The sequence below is a fragment of the Homo sapiens genome, chromosome 6 (assembly GCF_000001405.40).
Source record: "Homo sapiens chromosome 6, GRCh38.p14 Primary Assembly".
In the NCBI taxonomy this organism is placed as follows: Eukaryota; Metazoa; Chordata; class Mammalia; order Primates; family Hominidae; genus Homo; species Homo sapiens.
The window spans coordinates 158,748,902-158,770,575 of record NC_000006.12 but is presented as its reverse complement, the minus strand read 5'-3'; the positions used below and the strand labels follow the sequence as shown (position 1 = coordinate 158,770,575).

General features: G+C 51.9%; 2 protein-coding genes and 1 non-coding gene across 30 annotated transcripts in view, besides 3 other annotated features; 2 read left to right on the top strand and 1 right to left on the bottom strand.

The window, feature by feature from the left end:
* EZR (ezrin) overlaps window positions 1–4,828 on the top strand; it is a 53,621-nt gene extending 48,793 nt beyond the window's left edge. For all 3 annotated transcript variants that reach the window (NM_001111077.2, NM_003379.5, XM_011536110.2), the window contains 4 exons: window positions 632–792; window positions 1,158–1,250; window positions 3,064–3,315; window positions 3,498–4,828. In NM_001111077.2, the coding sequence (NP_001104547.1) occupies window positions 632–792; window positions 1,158–1,250; window positions 3,064–3,315; window positions 3,498–3,662 (671 nt within the window). In that variant the 3' untranslated portion in view covers window positions 3,663–4,828. The remainder of the gene's footprint in view (window positions 1–631; window positions 793–1,157; window positions 1,251–3,063; window positions 3,316–3,497) is intronic.
* Window positions 5,705–21,674, bottom strand: part of SYTL3 (synaptotagmin like 3) — a 119,936-nt gene continuing 103,966 nt past the window's right edge. For 25 of the 26 annotated variants that reach the window (XM_006715606.4, XM_047419556.1, XM_011536254.3 and 22 more), the window contains 6 exons: window positions 18,546–18,648; window positions 13,195–13,365; window positions 9,831–9,936; window positions 8,398–8,500; window positions 7,067–7,272; window positions 5,705–6,081 (listed from right to left, as the gene is read on the bottom strand). In XM_006715606.4, the coding sequence (XP_006715669.1) occupies window positions 5,972–6,081; window positions 7,067–7,272; window positions 8,398–8,500; window positions 9,831–9,936; window positions 13,195–13,365; window positions 18,546–18,648 (799 nt within the window). In that variant the 3' untranslated portion in view covers window positions 5,705–5,971. Of the gene's footprint in view, window positions 6,082–7,066; window positions 7,273–8,397; window positions 8,501–9,830; window positions 9,937–13,194; window positions 13,366–18,545; window positions 18,649–21,674 lie in introns of those variants that run through there. The other variant, XM_017011499.2, reaches the window with a different exon arrangement.
* Window positions 5,823–5,915, top strand: MIR3918 (microRNA 3918). The gene has a single exon (NR_037482.1). It is a non-coding gene; the product is annotated as a microRNA 3918 (primary transcript).
* Window positions 7,425–7,719: a silencer, noted in NCBI's record as "tiled region #4567; K562 Repressive DNase matched - State 5:Enh". NCBI's record gives its function as "represses a minimal TATA promoter and a strong SV40 promoter by Sharpr-MPRA in K562 cells {active_cell/tissue: K562}" and the evidence as "EXISTENCE:reporter gene assay evidence [ECO:0000049][PMID:27701403]".
* Window positions 10,858–11,533: an enhancer, noted in NCBI's record as "H3K4me1 hESC enhancer chr6:159180075-159180750 (GRCh37/hg19 assembly coordinates)". NCBI's record gives its function as "activates a minimal SCP1, AML or CMV promoter by ChIP-STARR-seq in naive H9 embryonic stem cells {active_cell/tissue: H9 hESC(naive)}" and the evidence as "EXISTENCE:reporter gene assay evidence [ECO:0000049][PMID:30033119]".
* Window positions 14,681–15,265: an enhancer, noted in NCBI's record as "H3K4me1 hESC enhancer chr6:159176343-159176927 (GRCh37/hg19 assembly coordinates)". NCBI's record gives its function as "activates a minimal SCP1, AML or CMV promoter by ChIP-STARR-seq in primed H9 embryonic stem cells {active_cell/tissue: H9 hESC(primed)}" and the evidence as "EXISTENCE:reporter gene assay evidence [ECO:0000049][PMID:30033119]".

Genomic DNA, 21,674 nt, shown 5'->3' with positions numbered 1-21,674 from the left:
TAGTTGTTCTAAGACTTTGTATTTTAAAATTTCCCTAGTCTTTTGCGGTAAGTGCTCAATCACCCAGTTTCCCCGATGAGGACAGTAAGGTTTGGTGCGGTACAGTGATTTGCCCACAGTCCCCCAGCCCATGACTGACAGGGCCATGCTGCACTGCCCTCGACCTCTAGACTAAAACCCAAAGGCGTGTTCAGAGCCAGACTTCCCAGCACAGCTCCAGTCAACAACCCCAGCAGCTGGGCCGATTACACAAGGCGCCACAGATGCTGTATTCACTGGCAGCCCTTACAGCACACATGGGAAGGGTGTTCTGTGTTCTGAGTGGAGTGTGGACCACCAGCACAGCGGGCGGCTGACCTGGGGAGAGTAGCGCCAAGAGGGTTGAGTCAGGCATGCCAGAGAGAGGGCGCCTGGCTGGCGTTGGACGGGTTTCTAGCCATCTTGAGGAAGTTGTCATGGATACAGCAGCAATGAGCTCTGTGAAGTGCTTTCCTCCAGGGTCACTGGAAGACATCCCCTCAACCTGTGACTTGGTCTAGGGCTCTGTGGCTTTGGGGGTGGGAATGGAAAGCGAGGGCTCCTAGGTCCCTGGGCTGAGGGTTTGAATGGCTCTGGCTTTGTGTCTTTGCAGAGCTCTCGGAGCAGATTCAGAGGGCCCTGCAGCTGGAGGAGGAGAGGAAGCGGGCACAGGAGGAGGCCGAGCGCCTAGAGGCTGACCGTATGGCTGCACTGCGGGCTAAGGAGGAGCTGGAGAGACAGGCGGTGGATCAGATAAAGAGCCAGGAGCAGCTGGTAGGAATGGCCTGAGTTTCAAGATGCTGAATTATAGAGAGGCTGCTTCTGAGGATGGAAAATGTGACACCTGCCTTGTAATAATTGTCATGACTGGAAGCTGTAAACTGATCTGCTGGGGGGCTGAAGGCAGCTGGTGGGGAAGGGGCTGGGCTGTTGCCAGGGTCACCCATTGAAGGTGGGTGTGGGCATCCAGGAAGAGATGCCGGGGGTGCACAATGGACCCTGCTGGCCATGGAGTGGGGGTGGCGGGGACTCAGGTGTCACGTTGGAGACTGCTTGCCAACACACATGAACACTCATTCACAACTGGACTCCGTTGAAAGGATATCAGAACTGACGTGAGCTTGGCATTCCCTTCCCAGGCTGCGGAGCTTGCAGAATACACTGCCAAGATTGCCCTCCTGGAAGAGGCGCGGAGGCGCAAGGAGGATGAAGTTGAAGAGTGGCAGCACAGGGTGAGTCTGCACGGGGGACACCTCCGCACGGCCACAGCACCTGTTGCCCAATTGCCTGCGGTGGGGCCCTTCTGCAGGTGGGTGGGTTGGGGGAGAGGTCTGGCTCAAGCTGCCACATCCCACTGGAAGCTTCTGGGATGTCTCATGATCCTCTGCCAATACCAGCTGTACTACTGAAGTAGACATCCCCAAAGAGATGGGTTTGACTTTGTACACGAGTCAGTGCAGCTGCTGGATTCATAGAGGGAGGACCTCTGATTGACTTTCACCCACTTTGCTCCCTCCACCCCGAACTGTTCAGTGCTGATCTGACAGCCCCCGGTCAGGAACTGGTTTTAAATCTAATTATATATGTGCCCCTTGCAATGGGGTCGCAGTGCCTGAAACACGACCTCCTGCAGCTAGTATATACAGCGGGCACCATGGAAAGATCCAGCTCCTTGGACGTCTCCAGGCTGGAGTGAGAGCTGGGCTCTGCTGCTCATCAGCTATTTGGGGGCTAGTAGCATCACTTCTTCAAGCCTCATTTTCCTCATTGTAGAATGGGGGCAATACCCAACTCATAAGGTTGCTCTGCAGATGCGAGGTCCCATGCCCAGGACCTAGCACAGAGGTTTAGTCAGCTGTAGCTCTCATTGTGGGACGCACACAGAGCTTGTCGCTCCGTCTGGGATCCCCTGTGCCCTCCAGGAAGGCACAGCCCCTGAGAAGCTCTGGGGATGGTTCCCACTGGAGACTGCACACCAGGCTTTAAGCAGCTCCTCTCCTTCACAGACCCGCTGGCCCGTCCTTCCCCCACTGTGGCTTCTCCATCTGTGGAGGTGCCTTCTGGGGACGTGTCTCCCGGCTCTCCAGGGCTGCTGCTGCCTAGTACCTCCTTGCCTCTGTTCCAGCCCCCATTCCCGCTGCCGATCTGTATTAGGCTGTTCTCACAACGGCTATAAAGAACAAGCTGAGACTGGGTAGTTAAAGAAAAGAGGTTTAATTGACTCACAGTCCCACATGGCTGGGGGAGGCCTCAGGAAATTTACAATCGTGGCAGAAGGCGAAGGGGAAGCAGGCACCTCTTACATGAGGGCAGAAGAGAGAAAAGCAAAGGGGGGTAATGCCAAACACTGAAACCATCAGCTCTTGCTCAGAACCCACCCACTAGCACGAGAACAGCATAGGGGAAACCACCCCGTAATCCAGTCACCTCCCACCAGGTAATGCCCCCCACCCCCAGCATGGGGGGATTACAGGTGGAGATGAGATTTGGGTGGGGACACAGCCATATCACCATCCCAAGTTGCAAGCGGAAGACTTTGGTTCTTAGGTTTTTGGAGAAAGTACCTGTTAAGTGAGGAGAGCTGGCTACAAAGCAGATCCACACTAAGCTCAACTCTAGGGCTGGCTGGGATGGAGGCGGGCGGGACTGGGTGTGTGTGAAGCTGTTGGAAGGACTGCAAGTGGCGAGCAGGAGAGCACTTGATAATGACTGTGGCATGAAGGGAGGCTAGGAACAGAGCCCGTTACTCATGCTAACAGGATTTTTTTTCTAAAAATTATATAATGTCTAGAGTTACAGGTAAAAAAAGAAATGGTAGTTTTAAAACTGCCCAGGTTCCGGCATCACAGTTCCTCTTCCTGTCTTGGACGCAGAGGGTTGTAAACCCCCCATGCACCCTGAGGGTGCTCCTCTTCGAAGCCACAGCCCAGCACAGTTCAGTGCTGCCTTAGCCTGCCAGGACAGAGGGAGGTGACAGTCTGTTCTCATAGCCAGGAGGATAGGACTTCTGGGTGAGAAGTCCTCTTATTAATTTGCTTTCCAAAGGCCAAAGAAGCCCAGGATGACCTGGTGAAGACCAAGGAGGAGCTGCACCTGGTGATGACAGCACCCCCGCCCCCACCACCCCCCGTGTACGAGCCGGTGAGCTACCATGTCCAGGAGAGCTTGCAGGATGAGGGCGCAGAGCCCACGGGCTACAGCGCGGAGCTGTCTAGTGAGGGCATCCGGGATGACCGCAATGAGGAGAAGCGCATCACTGAGGCAGAGAAGAACGAGCGTGTGCAGCGGCAGCTGCTGGTGAGGCCCAAGGGGCTCTGTCTCCAGGGAGCCTGCCTCGCTTTTGGAGCAGACAGGCTTGGGGAGGGCAGTGATGTGAGCCAGCCCCACCCAGCACCCCTCTTGCCCTTCCTGTTTTCCTAGGGGACGGGCCGGGCCATATGGGGAGGAAGGGACTAGACCAATGCTGCTTAATGTTACAGACGCTGAGCAGCGAGCTGTCCCAGGCCCGAGATGAGAATAAGAGGACCCACAATGACATCATCCACAACGAGAACATGAGGCAAGGCCGGGACAAGTACAAGACGCTGCGGCAGATCCGGCAGGGCAACACCAAGCAGCGCATCGACGAGTTCGAGGCCCTGTAACAGCCAGGCCAGGACCAAGGGCAGAGGGGTGCTCATAGCGGGCGCTGCCAGCCCCGCCACGCTTGTGTCTTTAGTGCTCCAAGTCTAGGAACTCCCTCAGATCCCAGTTCCTTTAGAAAGCAGTTACCCAACAGAAACATTCTGGGCTGGGAACCAGGGAGGCGCCCTGGTTTGTTTTCCCCAGTTGTAATAGTGCCAAGCAGGCCTGATTCTCGCGATTATTCTCGAATCACCTCCTGTGTTGTGCTGGGAGCAGGACTGATTGAATTACGGAAAATGCCTGTAAAGTCTGAGTAAGAAACTTCATGCTGGCCTGTGTGATACAAGAGTCAGCATCATTAAAGGAAACGTGGCAGGACTTCCATCTGTGCCATACTTGTTCTGTATTCGAAATGAGCTCAAATTGATTTTTTAATTTCTATGAAGGATCCATCTTTGTATATTTACATGCTTAGAGGGGTGAAAATTATTTTGGAAATTGAGTCTGAAGCACTCTCGCACACACAGTGATTCCCTCCTCCCGTCACTCCACGCAGCTGGCAGAGAGCACAGTGATCACCAGCGTGAGTGGTGGAGGAGGACACTTGGATTTTTTTTTTTGTTTTTTTTTTTTTTGCTTAACAGTTTTAGAATACATTGTACTTATACACCTTATTAATGATCAGCTATATACTATTTATATACAAGTGATAATACAGATTTGTAACATTAGTTTTAAAAAGGGAAAGTTTTGTTCTGTATATTTTGTTACCTTTTACAGAATAAAAGAATTACATATGAAAAACCCTCTAAACCATGGCACTTGATGTGATGTGGCAGGAGGGCAGTGGTGGAGCTGGACCTGCCTGCTGCAGTCACGTGTAAACAGGATTATTATTAGTGTTTTATGCATGTAATGGACTATGCACACTTTTAATTTTGTCAGATTCACACATGCCACTATGAGCTTTCAGACTCCAGCTGTGAAGAGACTCTGTTTGCTTGTGTTTGTTTGTTTGCAGTCTCTCTCTGCCATGGCCTTGGCAGGCTGCTGGAAGGCAGCTTGTGGAGGCCGTTGGTTCCGCCCACTCATTCCTTCTCGTGCACTGCTTTCTCCTTCACAGCTAAGATGCCATGTGCAGGTGGATTCCATGCCGCAGACATGAAATAAAAGCTTTGCAAAGGCACGAAGCAGCACGGGTGTGTGCTTGTGTGTGGGGTGGGAGGGCTACCGCCGACTCGTCTGGGCTCTATGCTGTCCTCTGGCCAGGTTTCGTGAGGGGCCGTGGTGTCCCTGGGGGTACACTGGTAAGTTGGAGCTGACCAACCCAAGACATGGTGCTCCATGGGTCACCTAACCTCCTCGAGATGGTTTCCACAGGAGAGAAAGACTGCTCCAACACTCATCAGGCTCCTCTAAAATGCTCCTCATAGCCGGGCACAGTGGCTCACACCTGTAATCCCAGCACTTTGGGAGGCCGAGGTGGTCGGATCACGAGGTCAGGAGATCGAGACCATCCTGGCCAACATGGTGAAACCCCATCTTTACTAAAAATACGAAAATTAGCCTGGTGTGGTGGTGCATACCTATAATCCCAGCTACTTGGGAGGCTGGGGCAGGAGAATTGCTAGAACCCGGGAGGCGGAGCTTGCAGCAAGCCAAGATCGTGCCACTGCACTCCAGCCTGGTGACGGGGAGACTCCGTCTCAAAAAATAAAGTGCTTCTCACAGCGAAGCTGTGACTCCCCCCCCCGCCTTGAGACAGGGTCTTACTTTGGCCCAGGCTGGAGCACAGTTGCATGATCGGGGCTTACTGCAGCCTCAACCTCCTGGGCTCAATCCTCCCGGTTCAGCCTCCTGAGTAACTGGGACTACAGGTGTGTACCACCACACCTGGATAATTTTTTGGTTTTTTTGTAGACAGGGTATCTATGTTGCCTGGGCTGATCTCACACTTCTGAGCTCAAGCCATCCACTGCAGCCTCCCAAAGTTGCTGGGATTACAGGGGGGAGTTACCATGCCCACCAGCCGGCCTTTTACCTCATTTGATAAGCACTGGAGGACATGGGTAACAACGTTTATTAAAATCTGGCCATTTTCTACATCTCAAAGAGGAGATAACCCACCAGAGGCTTAGGTAACATAATTGTGTTTAACGTAAATATACACAGATACCAATAGGCGGTTAAGCCATGGGACAGGGCCGCAGATGGAGACTGCTCAAGGTCAAAGGGGTCTCCAGCTGGGACCCTGCACCTGGTTCGTAGCCCCTCTGCAGACGCACAGTGCCTCACGCCTGCTGCAACCTGGAACCTTGAGGCCTTCATGTCAGTGCAGGACAAGAGTCATGTCTGTCCATAGATTGGGGCTGGAAAGGACTTTCTGCCACTGGAGCTTCGATAGTGAGCATGCATCCCCGCCAACAGCTGTGTCTCCCTCTGTAAGAGAGGAAGACAATTTAGCCATGGTCGGGGAGGGCACCACTTCATCCCCTCTCATCCCTTTAAAAATGATGACCAGCCAGAAGTTTTTCACCTCAAGTCCACATTAAAAGGCCAACCACTGATGACAGACGCCGCCACCACCACTCCCACCCCAACAAAGCTGGTGTTGAGACTGGGATTCACGCAGGCATCCTCTGCTCTGCGAGGCTCTAACAGCCTGGAGTTCTGTAGTTTGAAAGTGAGGCGAGGACTCTGGTTTGGTGGGCTGGGTCTTCACCAAGGGAGTGGATAGTTGCACACCAGCATGGCTAGCTGGGTGGGGCCGTCTCAGACTGGGGGCTGGGCTTGCCCATGGGAAGGGATTCTTAGAGGAAGACAGTATGCTTTGGACAAAATATCTTTGAAAAGCAATGGAGCAGTGAAGCTTATTTCTCTTCAGTCACTGGTTCTCAGTTGGAGGTCCTTGGAGATGTGTGCAGGTGTTTTTGGTTGTCATCATGTCAGGGACACTGCTGGCAGCCAGAAGCAGTGCCAGGCACAGAACCTCACAGCAGAGGGCTGTCCACCTACCATGCCGGCGGTGCCCTGCCGAGCGGCTCTGGACAGCACTGCTGTTCTGACCACTTTTGATGAAGTACTTTCTGAATTGCCATTTGTTTAAGAAGATATTTTCATTTAAGAAAATAATCCTTTTATGATTGACGCCAGAAACAAAAGCAAATACTGTACCTAGCCCGTTTGGAGGCCTATAATTTTTGTTTCTTTAGCAGATCTAAATCTGATTTAAATTGTCAAAATACTTGGCTGTATTATGGCTCAGCTGTAGAGTAAAAACTAGACTTAGGCATTTCCAATTAAGGCAGGCTAGGCAATTTCAAAACCAGTTAAGTCACTGCCCTGGTGGAAGCATTTTCTTTGCACGGTACCCATTAGGATAATCACAAAGTATAAACGTTTGGGCTCAATGTCTCAGACTTACTTGAACCAAGTCTGGTTCCTCCAAGCAAGCGGTCGTTCATTCCAAAGAGGGCCTGATCCCAGACAGTTAACTCCAAGCTTGACTGCCTCAGCTGAGCTGGGGTTACGCCACTGAAGACAAATGAGTGTTTCCACTGGGGGCAAGCCTGCTTCCTCAGGACTGGCGACTTCAGTCTCAGTTTTTGTTGGTCTGGCAGAGTGAGACAGCTGAAGAGGGAACACAAACCCTGCAATCATTGCCATCCACACGGCCTTCTCTCCTGAGGCCTGTGCGTCAGTGCAGACGGGAAGCACTAAGAAAAGTGCCAAGTCCACAACATCCACACCCTCCCCAGTGAAGCAGGGTGGGAACCACAGGACTCGGCACATTTCCCTTAGGGCCGAATTCTGCATCAGGTATGAAGGGCGAGCTGCATGCTGAGGCCTCGTGGCCCTCATCTTAATCTTTCCTCCTTGGGGTGCCTCCCACCATGACTGCAGATACACGTTATCTCCTTTTAACCCTGTTCTCAGGAAAATCAACTCAGACAAGCTTGTCCAAGGCCATGCAGATAAGCAACAAGATTAGAACATAAGCTCAGTTCTCCTTTTTTTGAGACGGAGTTTTGTTCTGTCGCCCAGGCTGGAGTGAAGTGGCACCATCTCAGCTCACTGCAACCTCCTCCCCCCAAGTTCAAGGAAGACTCCTATCTCAGCCTCCAGAGCAGCTAGGATTATAGGTGCCCGCCACCACACCCAGCTAATTTTTGTATTTTTAGTAGAGATGGGGTTTCATCATGTTGGCCAGGCTAGTTTTGAACTCCTGACCTCAGGTGATCCACCTGCCTCAGCCTCCCAAAGTGCTGGGATTACAGGCACGAGCCACTGCGTCCAGCCTGAGTTCTATCTTGACCGTCATTTTTCCCTATGTCACTGACGGGGAGTTTGCAATTCAATGTAATAATGGTATTTGCCTTACTTTTAGAGGGGCCAATGCACCTATACTGAATGAGAATGAAATGTGGACAGTCATGCGTTTTACTGTTGGTCCAAGAGGAGATGTTAAGCTTAGGAAATATTTACTGACCACACCACATTTTCATGCTTGATTTCAAAACTGGCTTCCTGATATCACAGAACTGAGAAGATTAGGGTTTCGAGTACTCCAGCATGTACACATCCCGTGAATTTTTGGAAATCAGGGTCTTTAATATGTGTTGTTAGATTTTCATAGGAAAGCTAAAATAAGACGTTTTAAGTGGCTTACGTTTTTTAGTGTTCGCTGCAGGTTCTGGGCCATGTTGTGATGTATACTAGATCACCAATAAATATTTGATTACATCGAATACCTACCCCTTAACAAATGAGTTCAAGGTGCCATCTGGCCGCACAGGTAAATTCTTGGCTCCTAGCACTACCAAACAAAGTTGACCATGAAGTGATGGCTGATCTGTCCCTGGAAGGAAAGCCAGTATTCACTGTCAAACCATGTCTCCTGATACGTTAGTATGCAGTACCACCACCCCAAAACCGAGAGCTCAGCTAGAGAATCTGCTACAGCCCTCAGACCCCGAGAGAGCAGATGGGAGTGGTGCAGTGGGCTCTGCTGGCCCTGCCCACAGGCTGTGGCGCTGCCCACACCGTGCCGCTCTGTGGTCAGGTGGAGGACAGGATGGAGGGATTACTAAGATCCTAGAAAAGAGTAAAGAGGAACGCAAGGAGAGGGAAGATGCCGAAGTTTGAGTCTAGTTGTAGCCAGAAGTTTGGGGGAAAGTGAGAGCCCCGAGACCCTGTCTAGGAGGTTGGGATGGCCATGGGGCACTTGCTGCTGGTCTGCTGGTGACCCCGTGAACTTGGGTAGCAGAATTTCCTCTTCTAGCCAAATAGGGAGTCAGCAAAATACACAACAGAAATGTGCATTCTGGGCCGGGCGTGGTGGCTCACGCCTGTAATCCCAGCACTTTGGGAGGCCAAGGTGGGCGGATCATGAGGTCAGGAGATCGAGACCATCCTGGCTAACATGGTGAAACCCTGTCTCTACTTAAAGAAAAAAAACAAAAAATTAGCCGGGCATGGTGGCAGGTGCCTGTAGTCCCAGGTACTCGGGAGGCTGAGGCAGGAGAATGGCATGAATCAGGGAGGCGAAGCTTGCAGTGAGCCAAGATCGGGCCACTGCACTCCAGCCTGGGTGACAGAGCAAAACTCTGTCTCAAAAAAAAAAAAAAAAAAAGAAATGTGCATTCTCCCAGTCCTCCTTCCCCGCCCTCCTCCTCCTCCACCCTCCTGCTTTCCACACGCCCCACGTTATTGAAGGAGTAAAATCTCCATAGGGTCCCTGAGGACCCTCCCTCCTGACCTACTTCTTTTGCTGGGCAGCAGCTACCCACATGCCTGGGGGCGGGGATTTATCTCGTCTGAGCCCTGCAGGTACCAGTGCTCTTGGCTCCACATTGTCATGGAGCCTCTGCTCTTCAGGAGGGGCCACGGTTTCCCCAGAGACCATCCAATCTGCCCCTGGGAGGAAGGCCTAGGGCAGTGTCCTTAGAGGAGCGTAGAGAGGGCATCAGAGGCCTTGTCTGCTTCTGGTCACCCGTTTCCCCCACTACGGGCTCCAGAGAACCTCTCCCGGGCTCGCTGCATGGCTCAGAAAGAAGAGCTGCTGGAGCTGGGCACGGGGACGTAGAAAGGAAATGCTAGAAAACTTTCACCCCACCTCAGTCTGCCTGCAGCACCAGGCTCTGCAGACAATGACACAGACAATGTCCAGGGAGCTGGAGGCCACTGACCTTCTTGAGCCTCTTGGAGTTTTCTGGGCCGTGAAGGGAGAACCAGCTTAGCCCGGACTGTGAGCTCTCCATTACTCTGAGGAACGCTGTCTTCGTATTTCTCCGCCTGGGGACAAGAGGCAGAGCTTAGGGACAGGATTCCCCAAGTCCCAAGAACCTTCTGGGTTCCTCTGGTTGTCTCAGCTTCGTCCACAGATGCTTCCCCCTGGCCCCTGCAAGGCCCTGGGTGGAGCAGGTGTGTCCGTGGCAGGACTGGTCTTCCTTCCATCTATGGTTTCACTCCCACCCTCCCCAACCCCAGCATGGGGAGGAACAGCTTGGCCACCCCAGCGAACCAGAGCCAGATGAGCCTGAGGAAGTGAAGGGACTCAAGGGCACTGCACACTCCCTAAGACATTTCTACGAAAACCCAGACACAGCCTGAGTTTGAAAAACAGAAATGAACTCAAGCCTCCACCCCATCCACCCCACCCAGGTCAGTAGAGATTCACGCTGCCCTTCCATGCCAAGGACTGGCACAGACACTGGGGACAGCATGGGGTGTAGTCTCTGTCCAGAGCCACAGGGGGTGGCCCCTCAGGGTGTGGTGAGTCTGAGGACACCTCCCTGCCCACCGAGGCACTTCTGTCATGAGTGGTTTTACCAGAAAGTGAGTGAAGAGAGGGCCGGGAAAGAGATGAGCCTGAAATCCACACCATCCTTCTCCCAGTGGGGTGGGAGGAGAGTATTGGGAAGAGTCTAGAGCAGGGTGTGTCCAGTCTTTTGGCTTCCCTGGGCCACACTGGAAGAATTGTCTTGGGCCACACATAAAATACACTAACAACAGCTGATGAGCTTAAAAAAAAAATCACAAAAAAACTCATGTTTTAAGAAAGTTTATGAATTTGTGTTGGGTTGCATTCAATGCCATCCTGAGGCCAAGCATGGTGACTCATGCCTGTAATCCCAGCACTTTGGGAGGCCAAGGTGGGATCACCTGAGGTCAGGAGTTCGAGACCAGCCTGGCCAACATGGTGAAACCCCATGTCTACCAAAAATACAAAAAAATTAGCCAGGTGTGGTGACGGGCGCCTATAATCCCAGCTACTAGGGAGGCTGAGGCAGAGAATCACTTGAACCCAGGGGACAGAGGTTGCAGTGAGCCAAGATCACGCCACTTCACTCCAGCCTGGACGACAGAGCAAAACTCCGTCTCAAAATAAACAACAACAACCAAAAAACAGAGCCGTCCCGGGCTGCAGGTTGGACAAGTTTGGTCTTGACACATCCGGTCCACCATGGCTCCTGCCAGCACTGAGAAGCAGCCCTCTCAGTTACCCTCAGAGGCCTCAGGACTCCTGGGAGCCCGCGTGGGCCAGCCCGTCTTCCTGGCCCTCGGGTGCCAAATGAGGTATGGCTGCCTCCAGCCTCAGCGGCCAGAAACCGAGGCGGAACAGAGCCCAGGGGCGGGTCTGTGGGCGGACTCCCCACCCTACTGGCTTTAGGAGGGATGCCTTGCAGCTCTGTGCCACCTGCAGCTCTGTGCCACCTGCAGCTCTGTGCCACCTGCTCCTCACCCACTTGCCAGAGCAGGCTCAGTCTGATGAGGCCTGGTGGCCGCCTGTCCTATGCCAAGCCCTGTGCTTGTTCCAGGCCTTGTCTTCGAGCTGATGACAGAGGTGTGGGAGAGGCAGGGTGCACGGGGGATTCAGCCTCGGACAGAAGGAGTTCAGGCTGGAAACTCAGGGCGTCCCGGAGGAGCCAATGCTGTTCTGAGAGATGACAGAGCGGGGGTGAGAGGAAGGCACGGAAGGCATGGAAGCCAGATGCTTCACCCACCCGCAACGTGGCTGGGGCAGGAGCAAAGGGACACTGAGGCTAAAGATCAGGCCGAGATGGCAGGCGTCCTGAGCTCCGGGTCCTGGAAGGGAGGCCACTTCTGGTAGGGGTAATCAGGAATGGCTTCCTGGAGGAGGTGGGTTTTGGGTCGTCTTGGGCTGACCTTGGATAGGGGATGCATTCCAGGTAGGCACTGGGAAGGGGAGGTCTAAGCCCGGACTCTAGCTTGGGGGAGTCAGCACAGGCAGTGGGAGAGTGGGCATTGCCTGGAGGAGCAGGGAGGGGGCAGGTGGCTCACCAGGAGGCCTCAGCTGAAACCTGAGAAGCTTCCAGGCAGAGATAATGCGAATCCCAGCTGCGCTGGCTCCGGAGAGGAAAAGAAGCCAGATGGCCCTTGTGCCTTATGTCCAGGTCGGAGCAGAAGGCTGGGCCTGCCGTGGGCCCTTGGCTGAGGGGAGTAGTCCATCCCGCTGGGTTTTTTTTTTTTTTTTGAGACAGAGTCTCGCTCTGTTGCCAGGCTGAAGTGCAGTGGTGCAATCTCGACTCATTGCAACCTCTGCCTCCCAGGTTCAAGTGATTCTTCTGCCTCAGCCTCCAGAGCAGCTGGGACTACAGGCGTGCACCACCACACCCAGCTAATTTTTGTATTTTTAGAGAGACGGGGTTTCACTGTGTTAGCCAGGATGGTCTCAATCTCCTGACCTTGTGATCTGCCCGCCTCGGCCTCCCAAAGTGCTGGGATTACAGTCAAGAGCCACCGTGTCCAGGCTCCCCACTGGGGTTTTTAAAGAGATGGCAGAAGCCCACGTTTTTCATCCCTCGTGGTCTCACATGAACTCTCTCCCAGTCCGGGATCTGGACACAGCAAAGTACAAAGCAGCGTCTCCGAGAAATGCTAACCTCTCTCCCAGGCCTCTCCTCCTACCTGCATAGCCTGGGGGACACGGATCCTAAATGGAGTCCATCAGCTCCTCTGACCCACCCCCAGCCCACGTGCTATCTATCTCCCGCCGTGCAATTCCAAACCAGGAGCTGGAGCCCCACATCCTAGCCAGGGCGGCCTCTGCCTTCCTCACAGCATCGGGTCCAGCCATTTGTCACCTATTACTGTTAGTTATTGTCACCTATTATTGAGAGTGCCTGGGGTTGAAAGGTTAGAAACAACACACTGTAGCCCCCTGGGGGACCGCATAGCTGCGGGCGGTGCCCCCAGGGAAAGGCATGGCCAGCTTCCAGCAGGTCAGCCACCAGCAAAGGGAGGCCTCCGCCAGGGGAAGCCACAGGACCTGATCCAGTCTGGTCTGTGTATGATGCTGAGGCGGGGGCTGTTCGGGTACCTGAACAGAGCTGAGCCAGTTAAAACAAACCCTCCGCCCACCCCACCCACAAGAAAGTAACTATTTCAAAGTCACAGCGCCAGGCCGGCGAACACACAGTCTTGGGTCCAAGTCTTGCCAGGTACGTTTTCTCTTCTGGGATCTCTCTGAAAAGTTATTTATCTATCACAGTGGGGATGGAGGGCACTCAGTCCAAAACCAGACATCACCTTGGCCCGGAGCGGATGCCAGCGGAAGGACTGTGTTGTGCTGTCTTCAAAGTCCCACGTGGCCAGAGGAATGATCACTTCTCCAAGAAACACTCTCCGGGCCAGCGTGCCCAGATGCCACACCGAGACCTGCAGCTGCCGGGTCACCAGCTGGGCAGGGGCCACCTGATACTGCAGAGGCAAGGAAGAGATGGTCAGCTGGGCTCCCGGGGCCCGCACTCCTAGGATCCCCATCTCTGGACCCCACCTTCCAGGGCCCCACTTCCCGGGGCCTGGCGCAGGCCTCCCTCCCACAGGCTGAGTCCAAGATGCGGATGCAGCCAGGGACCTGATGTGGTTAGGGTGGGTCAAGGTGCTTACAGCCAGGGTGGGGCGGGGGGGTCCTCTCTCTGCTCAAGAACCCCTCCCCCTACTCCCCAGGTGCCCAGTGCTCTGCCTGGGGACAGGCAAGGGTAGCCCTGGTAGCCTCCCACCCCCAATTCCTAGAACAAGACAAGGATGAAAGTCCTTGTCCAGCTCACGCCTACTAGAAATCAAGCCAAAGTCTATGCTCGCACAGGATTTGAACTTGCATCTAAACACTGCACCCAGCCAGGCTTGGCCAAAAATAATGATAACAGGCCCAAAAATACTAAAAAAAAAAAAAAAAAAAAAAAAAAAAATTTTTTTTTGAGACAGGATCTCGCTCTGTCACCAGGCTGGAGTGCAGTGGCACGATCTTGGCTCACTGCAACCTCTGCCTCCTGGGTTCAAGCGATTCTCCTGCCTTAGCCTCCTGAGTAGCTGGGACTATAGACGCCCAACACCACGCCCGGCTTGTTTTTTTGTATTTTTAGTAGAGACAGGGTTTCACCACGTTGGCCAGGTTGGTCTCGAACTCCTGACCTCAAATGACCCACCTGCCTCGGCCTCCCAAATTGCTGGGATTACAGGCGTGAGCCACTGCACCAGCCTGCATTTATTTATTTATTTTTTAAAGCAAAGCATGAACTCCCCCCTCCTCCATTCCCCGCAACACCACGTGTTTGCCCTGGAGGGACGGTGCCTGTGCTCAGGCATGCAGGGCCTGTGCTGGCTTGGCAGAGGCCAACACGATGTTCTTACTGTCCACACAGGGGGCTCCCAACACACCCAAGAGTGACGAGGGAACCCATTCCCCAGCCAAGCATGGGTTCTGCCCCATAGAGACTAGAGGCCGAAGGCCCCTCAGTGGCACCCAGCCCTTCCCAAGGTGTGGCTGACTCCACCTCAGCCTCTGAGGGCCTCACTTTAAGCTTATTAGTTGGATTTTCTCAATAATGAACAAACCCTACAAGTTATTGAACACTTATTTATTTCACACCAGGCTTTCTAGATGCATTGATCTTTTTAGCTTTCACACGCACCCTATGAGGTCAGTATAATTCAAACCATGTTGCAGGTGAAAAAAAAGCAGCTTGGAAATTCAGTGACCCTCCCTCCCTTGGTCTGGTAGCCGACACTGCAGGCCAGATTCACGTGCACTGACTGTGTCCAGGCCCGAGTCTCGCTGCTGACCTCTGTGGCCCATGCTGCCCCCACTCCGGCGCTTGTTTGGGGTTTGAATGGTGACTCCTCGTGACACGGCTGTTGCTGTGAGGCTGGACACTTGCACCCATTTGCAGCAGCTGTGCGGTTTGTTTGCTTTGGGGTTCATCTCCTCATGCCCACCTTTACCCATCTTTCCAATCGAGGAACGAGATGGAATAAAACAGGAACTGAGACACGGTAATTTCCCTCCTTCAGCCTCTGCAAACAGAGGGGAGGCGCAGCAGGGCCGTCCCCTGCTCTGTTGGGGGCTGCCTGTAGGCTCTGTCCACACTTCTGATGTCTGCGGGCCAGGCACAAATGGCTTGGCTGGCCAGGTTAGCTTCCTCAGTTCATTCCTCCTTTTCCTCCCCGCTGGGGTGGCTTGTGGCCATGGAGATGGGCATTTCTTGGGTCACATTCCCTTTTCTCCTGCCTTTGGGTAACTTTTAGCCAGTTTTCCCTCAAGTCTATGGGTCCATATCTTTTTTGGGGGGACAGGATCTCACTCTGTCACCTAGACTGGAGTGCAGCAGTGCCATCTCAGCTCACTGCAGCCTGCACCTCCCAGGCTCAAGCGATCCTCCCACCTCAGCTTCCCAAGTAGTTGGGACTACAGGTAGGCGTCGCCATGCCCGGCTAATCTTTTAATTTCTTGTAGAGATGGGGTCTCTCTACATTGCCCAGGCTGGTCTCGAACTCCTGGGCTCAAGCCCTCCACCCGTCTCAGCCTCTCAAAGTTCTGGGATTACAAGCGTGAGCCTCCACACCCAGCCCATGGGTCCATTTCCGACTCTGCCCCACATTCAATCTCTGTCTATAAACTCTGGATTGATGTGATTATTCCCCATATTCCAGCTACACTCCTTATCAGTTAGTCCAGGCAGCTGGCCAGCTGCATCTGCTGCCCTCTGAGAAATGAAGCGGTTACTAGAACGCCACGCCACTTAGCAGGGTCGGGCTCGGGCCCCCAGGCAGCTCTCTCATCTCCAGCTGTGTGTGGGCGACGCTCAGCCACTTCTCCTGGGTCCTTACCCATTGCTCGCCCCTTTCTGTCAATAGGACTACTCCCTGCTACATACAGAATCTACCTTTGCTTTGTTTTGTTTTGTTTGTTGAGACGGAGTCTCGCTCTGTCGCCCAGGCTGGAGTGCAGTGGTGTGATCTCAGCTCACTGCAAGCTCCGCCTTCCAGGTTCACGCCATTCTCCTGCCTCAGCCTCCCGAGTAGCTGGGACTACAGGTGCCCGCCACTGTGCCCAGCTAATTTTTTGTATTTTTAGTAGAGACGGGGTTTCACCGTGTTAGCCAAGATGGTCTCGATCTCCTGACCTCATGATCCGCCTGCCTCGGCCTCCCAAAGTGCTGGGATTACAGGCGTGAGCCACCACACCCAGCCTAGAATCTACCTTTTCAAACCAGACCTATTTTCCATAGCCCTGTTAGGTCCACAAGGCTTGCTCCAGGCTCAGCTGGGAATGAGGTGTAAGGATCATTTGAGAGCAGGGCCAGGCAATGACCAATGTCACCCAGTGAGATCACTTCATCCTCTCCAGGCCCCCAGGACAGTGGTGTCAAATGGGGTACAAGTCTCCCTGGGTCCAGAAAGGCTTGCCAAGAAGTACTCTGCTCAGAAAAATTTGAGGATCAATTTCTAGATCCTCGCATTTGATGTGCACTTCTCTCAAAACTGGCTGGAGACAGTTCTCACAGCCTCATCCACCTGAATCGTACTCTGATGGCTCACCTCAGGTCGCACAAAGCCTGGGTGCTGCACAAAGGTGTGATTGTGATTGGAAATACTGGCTTCTAGCGAGACTTTTAATGCTGGATCGGCCTCCCCGGCTTCCCATCCTTCGCATCTTATGCATATTTCTATTAAGGATGAGGCTGGCCGGTGTTGGGTTATTTTGCATTTAGGATCAATTAGAGATGCCGATTATTTTAATTGTAACTGGAAAGTTTCCCAGGACTATAAAATATTCACAATATACTAGATAAGACCCATGGATAAAAATTTTAAGTGATATCTTTGAGATTCTGTGTACATTTTAAGGTAGGTAACCTTTTAACTCCAATTATATAACTACATTTTTTTTTTTTTTTTTGAGACGGAGTCTCGCTCTGTCACCCAGGCTGGAGTGTAGTGGCGCTATCTCGGCTCACTGCAAGCTCTGCCTCCCGGGTTCACGCCATTCTCCTGCCTCAGTCTCCCAAGTAGCTGGGACTACAGGCGCCCGCCACCACGCCCGGCTAATTTTTTGTATTTTTAGTAGAGACGGGGTTTCACCATGTTAGCCAGGATGGTCTCGATCTCCTGACCTCATGATCCACCCGCCTCAGCCTCCCAAGGTGCTGGGATTACAGGCGTGAGCCACCGCGCCCGGCCCAGAATCTGCATTTTAAAAAAATCCCCAGTTCTAAGTACAGGGGCATCTTAGAAAATAAGAAATTTAGGCCTGGCGTGGTGGCTCAAGCCTGTAATCTCAGCATTTGGGAGGCCGGGGTGGGCAGATTACCTGGGGTCAGGAGTTCAAGACCAGCCTGGTCAACATGGTGAAACCCCATCTGTACTAAAAACACAAAAAATTTGCTGGCCATCGTGGTGGGTACCTTTAATCCCAGCTACTCAGGAGGCTGAGGCAGGAGAATCGCTTGAACCTGGGAGGTGGAGGTTGCAGTGAGCCAAGATCATGTCACTGCACTCCAGCCTGGGCGACCAAGAGTGAAACTCCATCTCAAAAAAAAAAAAAAAAAAAAGAAAAGAAGAAATGTTTTAAAAATGTAAATCCCCATGGGATTTTACGCACACAAATTTTGAGAACTGCCAGTCCTTTGTGGCTTTGAGCTGTATTTCTAAGGACTCTCTAGGTCTCAGTTTCCCCGTGGGTAAATGAGGATTCTAATAATTACCCCAGGCTGTATATAAAGCACTTGGCCACAGTAGGGACCCAGGAAACAAGGGCTATTATTATTTAATGAACTCAGGGCTCTGTGCCAGCTGCCCAGATGGCCCCTGGCTGGCAGCTCACAGACACCCCCTACTTGCCAAGAAAGGCAAACAAAGCCCTCTCCTGTCATAGGCATGAGACGAGGGGACCTCTGGCTGCCCAGCCCCGGCAGGGTAGCCTCTGCAGCTCTGGGCTACCCCCCTCACCCTGCACCAAGATTGGGGCCACCACAGCCAGCTCTCTGCAGATACCAGACCTCAGCTGCAGCCTTCCACCCGACATCAGAGCGCATGGCCCCATCTCTGCCCTCAACCATCAATCACATTTCCTAGTATCATAGAAAGTGAAAACCCAAACAATTCCTTTGTAAGATTTTTCATAAAAGGATTCATTTAAAAAAAATAAAATTAGAAGAAACCTGAGTTTGTCAGAAATACAATAAAGGGGCACTTTTACAAAGACAGTAACTCAGGAGTTTAATTTTCAGGGCACTCTGTCTGAGAGCACCTCTTTGACAGAAACATTCACTAAGACAAACTAATGTTTAAAATTATCCTGTGCCCCGGTGTTAGCCCGAGACAAAGAGGCAGCCAGGTTCTTTTTCACCATCTTCTCAGAAATCATTAATCAAAAGCCATTCCTGAGTCTGGCAGACTCTGCACTTTTCCTGTACAAAGGCTGACATTTATTTTCTACCAACTTAACACTGATTGACAGAGCTGCGAAGAAACATATAGGTGTCTGTATTATATCTAACTGAGTCAAGAGTTTGAAAGCACCATCCACTGGACTCTGCCCCAGGCGCTCCACCCGGGCTCGGGAGGACTCTGCACAGGAATATCTGTCCAGCAAGTACCTTCAAGGTCTCCTGAAAGGTCGGGTCCACGGTGTTCCTTTGGACTCCAGTCTTGCGCTTTCCCTGGGAGGATCTGTCGGGCAACAGGTAGGTCTTCACATACCTAGGGGCCAAACACAGCGGGGACAGAGTGAGAACTCAGGGAAAGGGGTGGATAAAGAGTTTGGGGGCAGCAGAGAACCCACATGCCAGCGTTTTCTTTACCAGGCTTCCTGCTGGAATTTTTGGGTTGATAGAAAGGACTTAATAGCCTAATAGTGAGCAACGTTAGTGCTGGGTGGGCAGCTTCTGATCCATGCAGTCTATGGTCAAATGCTAGCCACATAACCCTCTGGAATATTCCTGGGGGTGTGAAGCTCGTCCTGCCTTCCTCAGGCCCTACTCCATTTGGCGAAGACCATGGAACTAGAGATTCTCTCGCCTGCCTGGATGTCAAGGCCATGAGCCGGATTCCCGTCCCTTCTGCCACCCACCACCTGCAAAAGAAAAAAAAGTGGAAGTAGAAAGCATATGCCTCGCACTGTGCTGTTTCCTTGCAGGGGCCTCAAAGACTCTGCTCCTCCCAACCGCTGAGAAGTGGGATTCTGCTGAGTCTAGAGGTCGCACGCAGCATGACAGATGTCTCCATCTGCACTCACCCAGCCCCTGAAATCCAGGCGGAGAGGAAGACATGTCCTGTCCTGTTCTAGGCTGACCCCTCCATACAGGCCCCTACGCTGCCCTTCATGGCTCCTCTGGCAGCCCCAGTGATGGCAATGACCCCCCAACCAGCAGCAGCCCAAGCCCCCTCTCCACAGGCTAGAAACAGGCTCTACTTTCCAAAGTAAAAAATCACAGTGAGCCTCCTCTATCTGTGCCCTTCTTTAGCCCCAGTCTTGGGTCTCTTCTTCCCCCTAGGTTAAGCTTTTTGTGAAAATACTCGAAATCGGCCAGGAGGCCAGGCGCAGAAGCTCACAACTATAATCCCAGCACTTTGGGAGGATGAAGTGGACGGATCACCTGAGGTCAGGAGTTCCAGACCAGCCTGGCCAGCATGGTGAAACCCTGTCTCTACTAAAAATACAAAAATTAGCCAGGCATGATGGCATGTACCTGTAATCCCAGCTACTCAGGAGGCTGAGGCAGGAGAATCGCTTGTACCTGGGAGATGGAGGTTGCAGTGAGCCGAGATCGCGCCACTGCACTCCAGCCTGGGCAATAAAGCGAAATTCCATCTCAAAAAAGAAAAACAAAACAACCCAAAAACTGGCCAGGCACCTGGCTCAGGGAGGATTCCATAAGCCAGGAATTTGAGACCAGCGTGGGCAATACACAGGGAGAACTCATCTCCACGAAAAATTTAAAAGTCAACTGGGTGTGGTGGTGTGCACCTGTAGTCCCAGCTACTCGACGCCCGAAGTTGGAGGATCACCTGAGCCCAGGAGGTCAAGGCTGAAGTGAGCCATGATAACATCACTGCATTCCAGCCTAGACGGCAAAGCAAGACTCTGTCTCAAAAAATCAAACCAAAACAAAAAATCCCTCAAAACTCCATCTCTAATTCTTCACAGTTCATTTACTCTTAAGTTACTGAGCATTACACATTCATGCAATCTCAAATATGTAAAACAGAATATATAAAATATACCTATACGGTTGGAAGCATTATAATAAAGTGCACACCCATGTACCCCTGCCCCCCAGCTTAGGAAACAGAACATAACCAGTGACTTCCCTATCACAGTCCTGCCCGTAACCAGGTAATAACCACGTTGGATTTTATATTTATCACCCCCTTGGTTTTCTTTATGGTTTCACCATTTTGATGTGTCTCCTTAAACAATGTACTGCTTAGTTTTCCCTGTTTTTGAACTTTTATATAAATGGGATCATTCTGTATACATTCTTCCATAATTTGCTTTTTTTCACTCAATATTATGTTTGGGATTCATCTATGTTGCTGTAACTGCCGCTCATTCATCTCTAATCCTACGTATCATTCCACTGAATGAATACACAAGTCATTTATCCTGTTGATGAACATTTGTCTTATGTCCTAGTTTTTCCCTCTGCTCATGGTGCACATGTGCAAGCACTTCTCTTGGCATATAACCAGGAGTGATAGGGTATATGCCCCTTCAACTCTTCTAGATGATGCCAAATTACCAATTCAATCTCTTTAACAGATATAGAGTTATTCAGGTTTTCTATTTCATTTCATGTCAGTTTTGGCAATTTGTGTCTCTTGAGAATGTGTCGATTTCAGCCAGGTGTGGTGGCTCATGCCTGTAATCCCAGCATTTTGGGAGGCCAAGGCGGAAGGATTGCATGAGCCCAGGAGTTTGAGACCAGCTTGGGCAACATAGTGGGACCTCATCACTACTGAAAATTTTTTTTAATTGGCTGGGCACGGTGGTGTGCACCTGTGATCCCAGCTACTTGGGAGGCTAAGGCAGTAGGACCAGTTGAGCTCAGGAGTTTGAGACCAGCCTGGGCAACATAGTGAGACCTCATTTCTTAAAAAAAAAAAAAAAAAAAAAAAAAGAGAGAAAGAAAAGAAGGTGTTCATTTCATCTAAGCTGTTAAATTTATTAGCACAAAGTTTTACATAATATCCCCTTATTATATATTTTTTTCTTTCTTTTTTTTTTTTTTTTTTTTCAGACAGAGTCTCACTTGGTTGCCCAGGCTGGAGTACAGTGGCACAATCTTAGCTCACAATCACAGCCCTCCTGGGCTGAGGTGATTCTCCCACCTCAGCCTCCCAAGTAGCTGGGACTACAGGTGTGTGCCACCACACCTGGCTAATTTTTATTTATTATTTAATGAGAGGGAGTCTCACTCTGTCACCCAGGCTGGAGTGCAGTGGCATGATCTTGGCTCACTGCAACCTCTGCCTCCTGGGTTCAAACAATTCTCCTGCCTCAGCCTCCTGTGTAGCTGGGATTACAGGCACATGCCACCATGCCTGGCTAATTTTCTCTGTATTTTTAGTAGAGACGGGGTTTCACCATGTTGGCAAGGCTGGTCTTGAACTCCTGACCCTCAGGTGATCCACCCTTCTCGGCTTCCCAAAGTGCTGGGCTTGCAGCCATGAGCCCCCAGCCTGACCCCCTTATTATACTTGAATGTCTGCAAGTGCTGTCATGT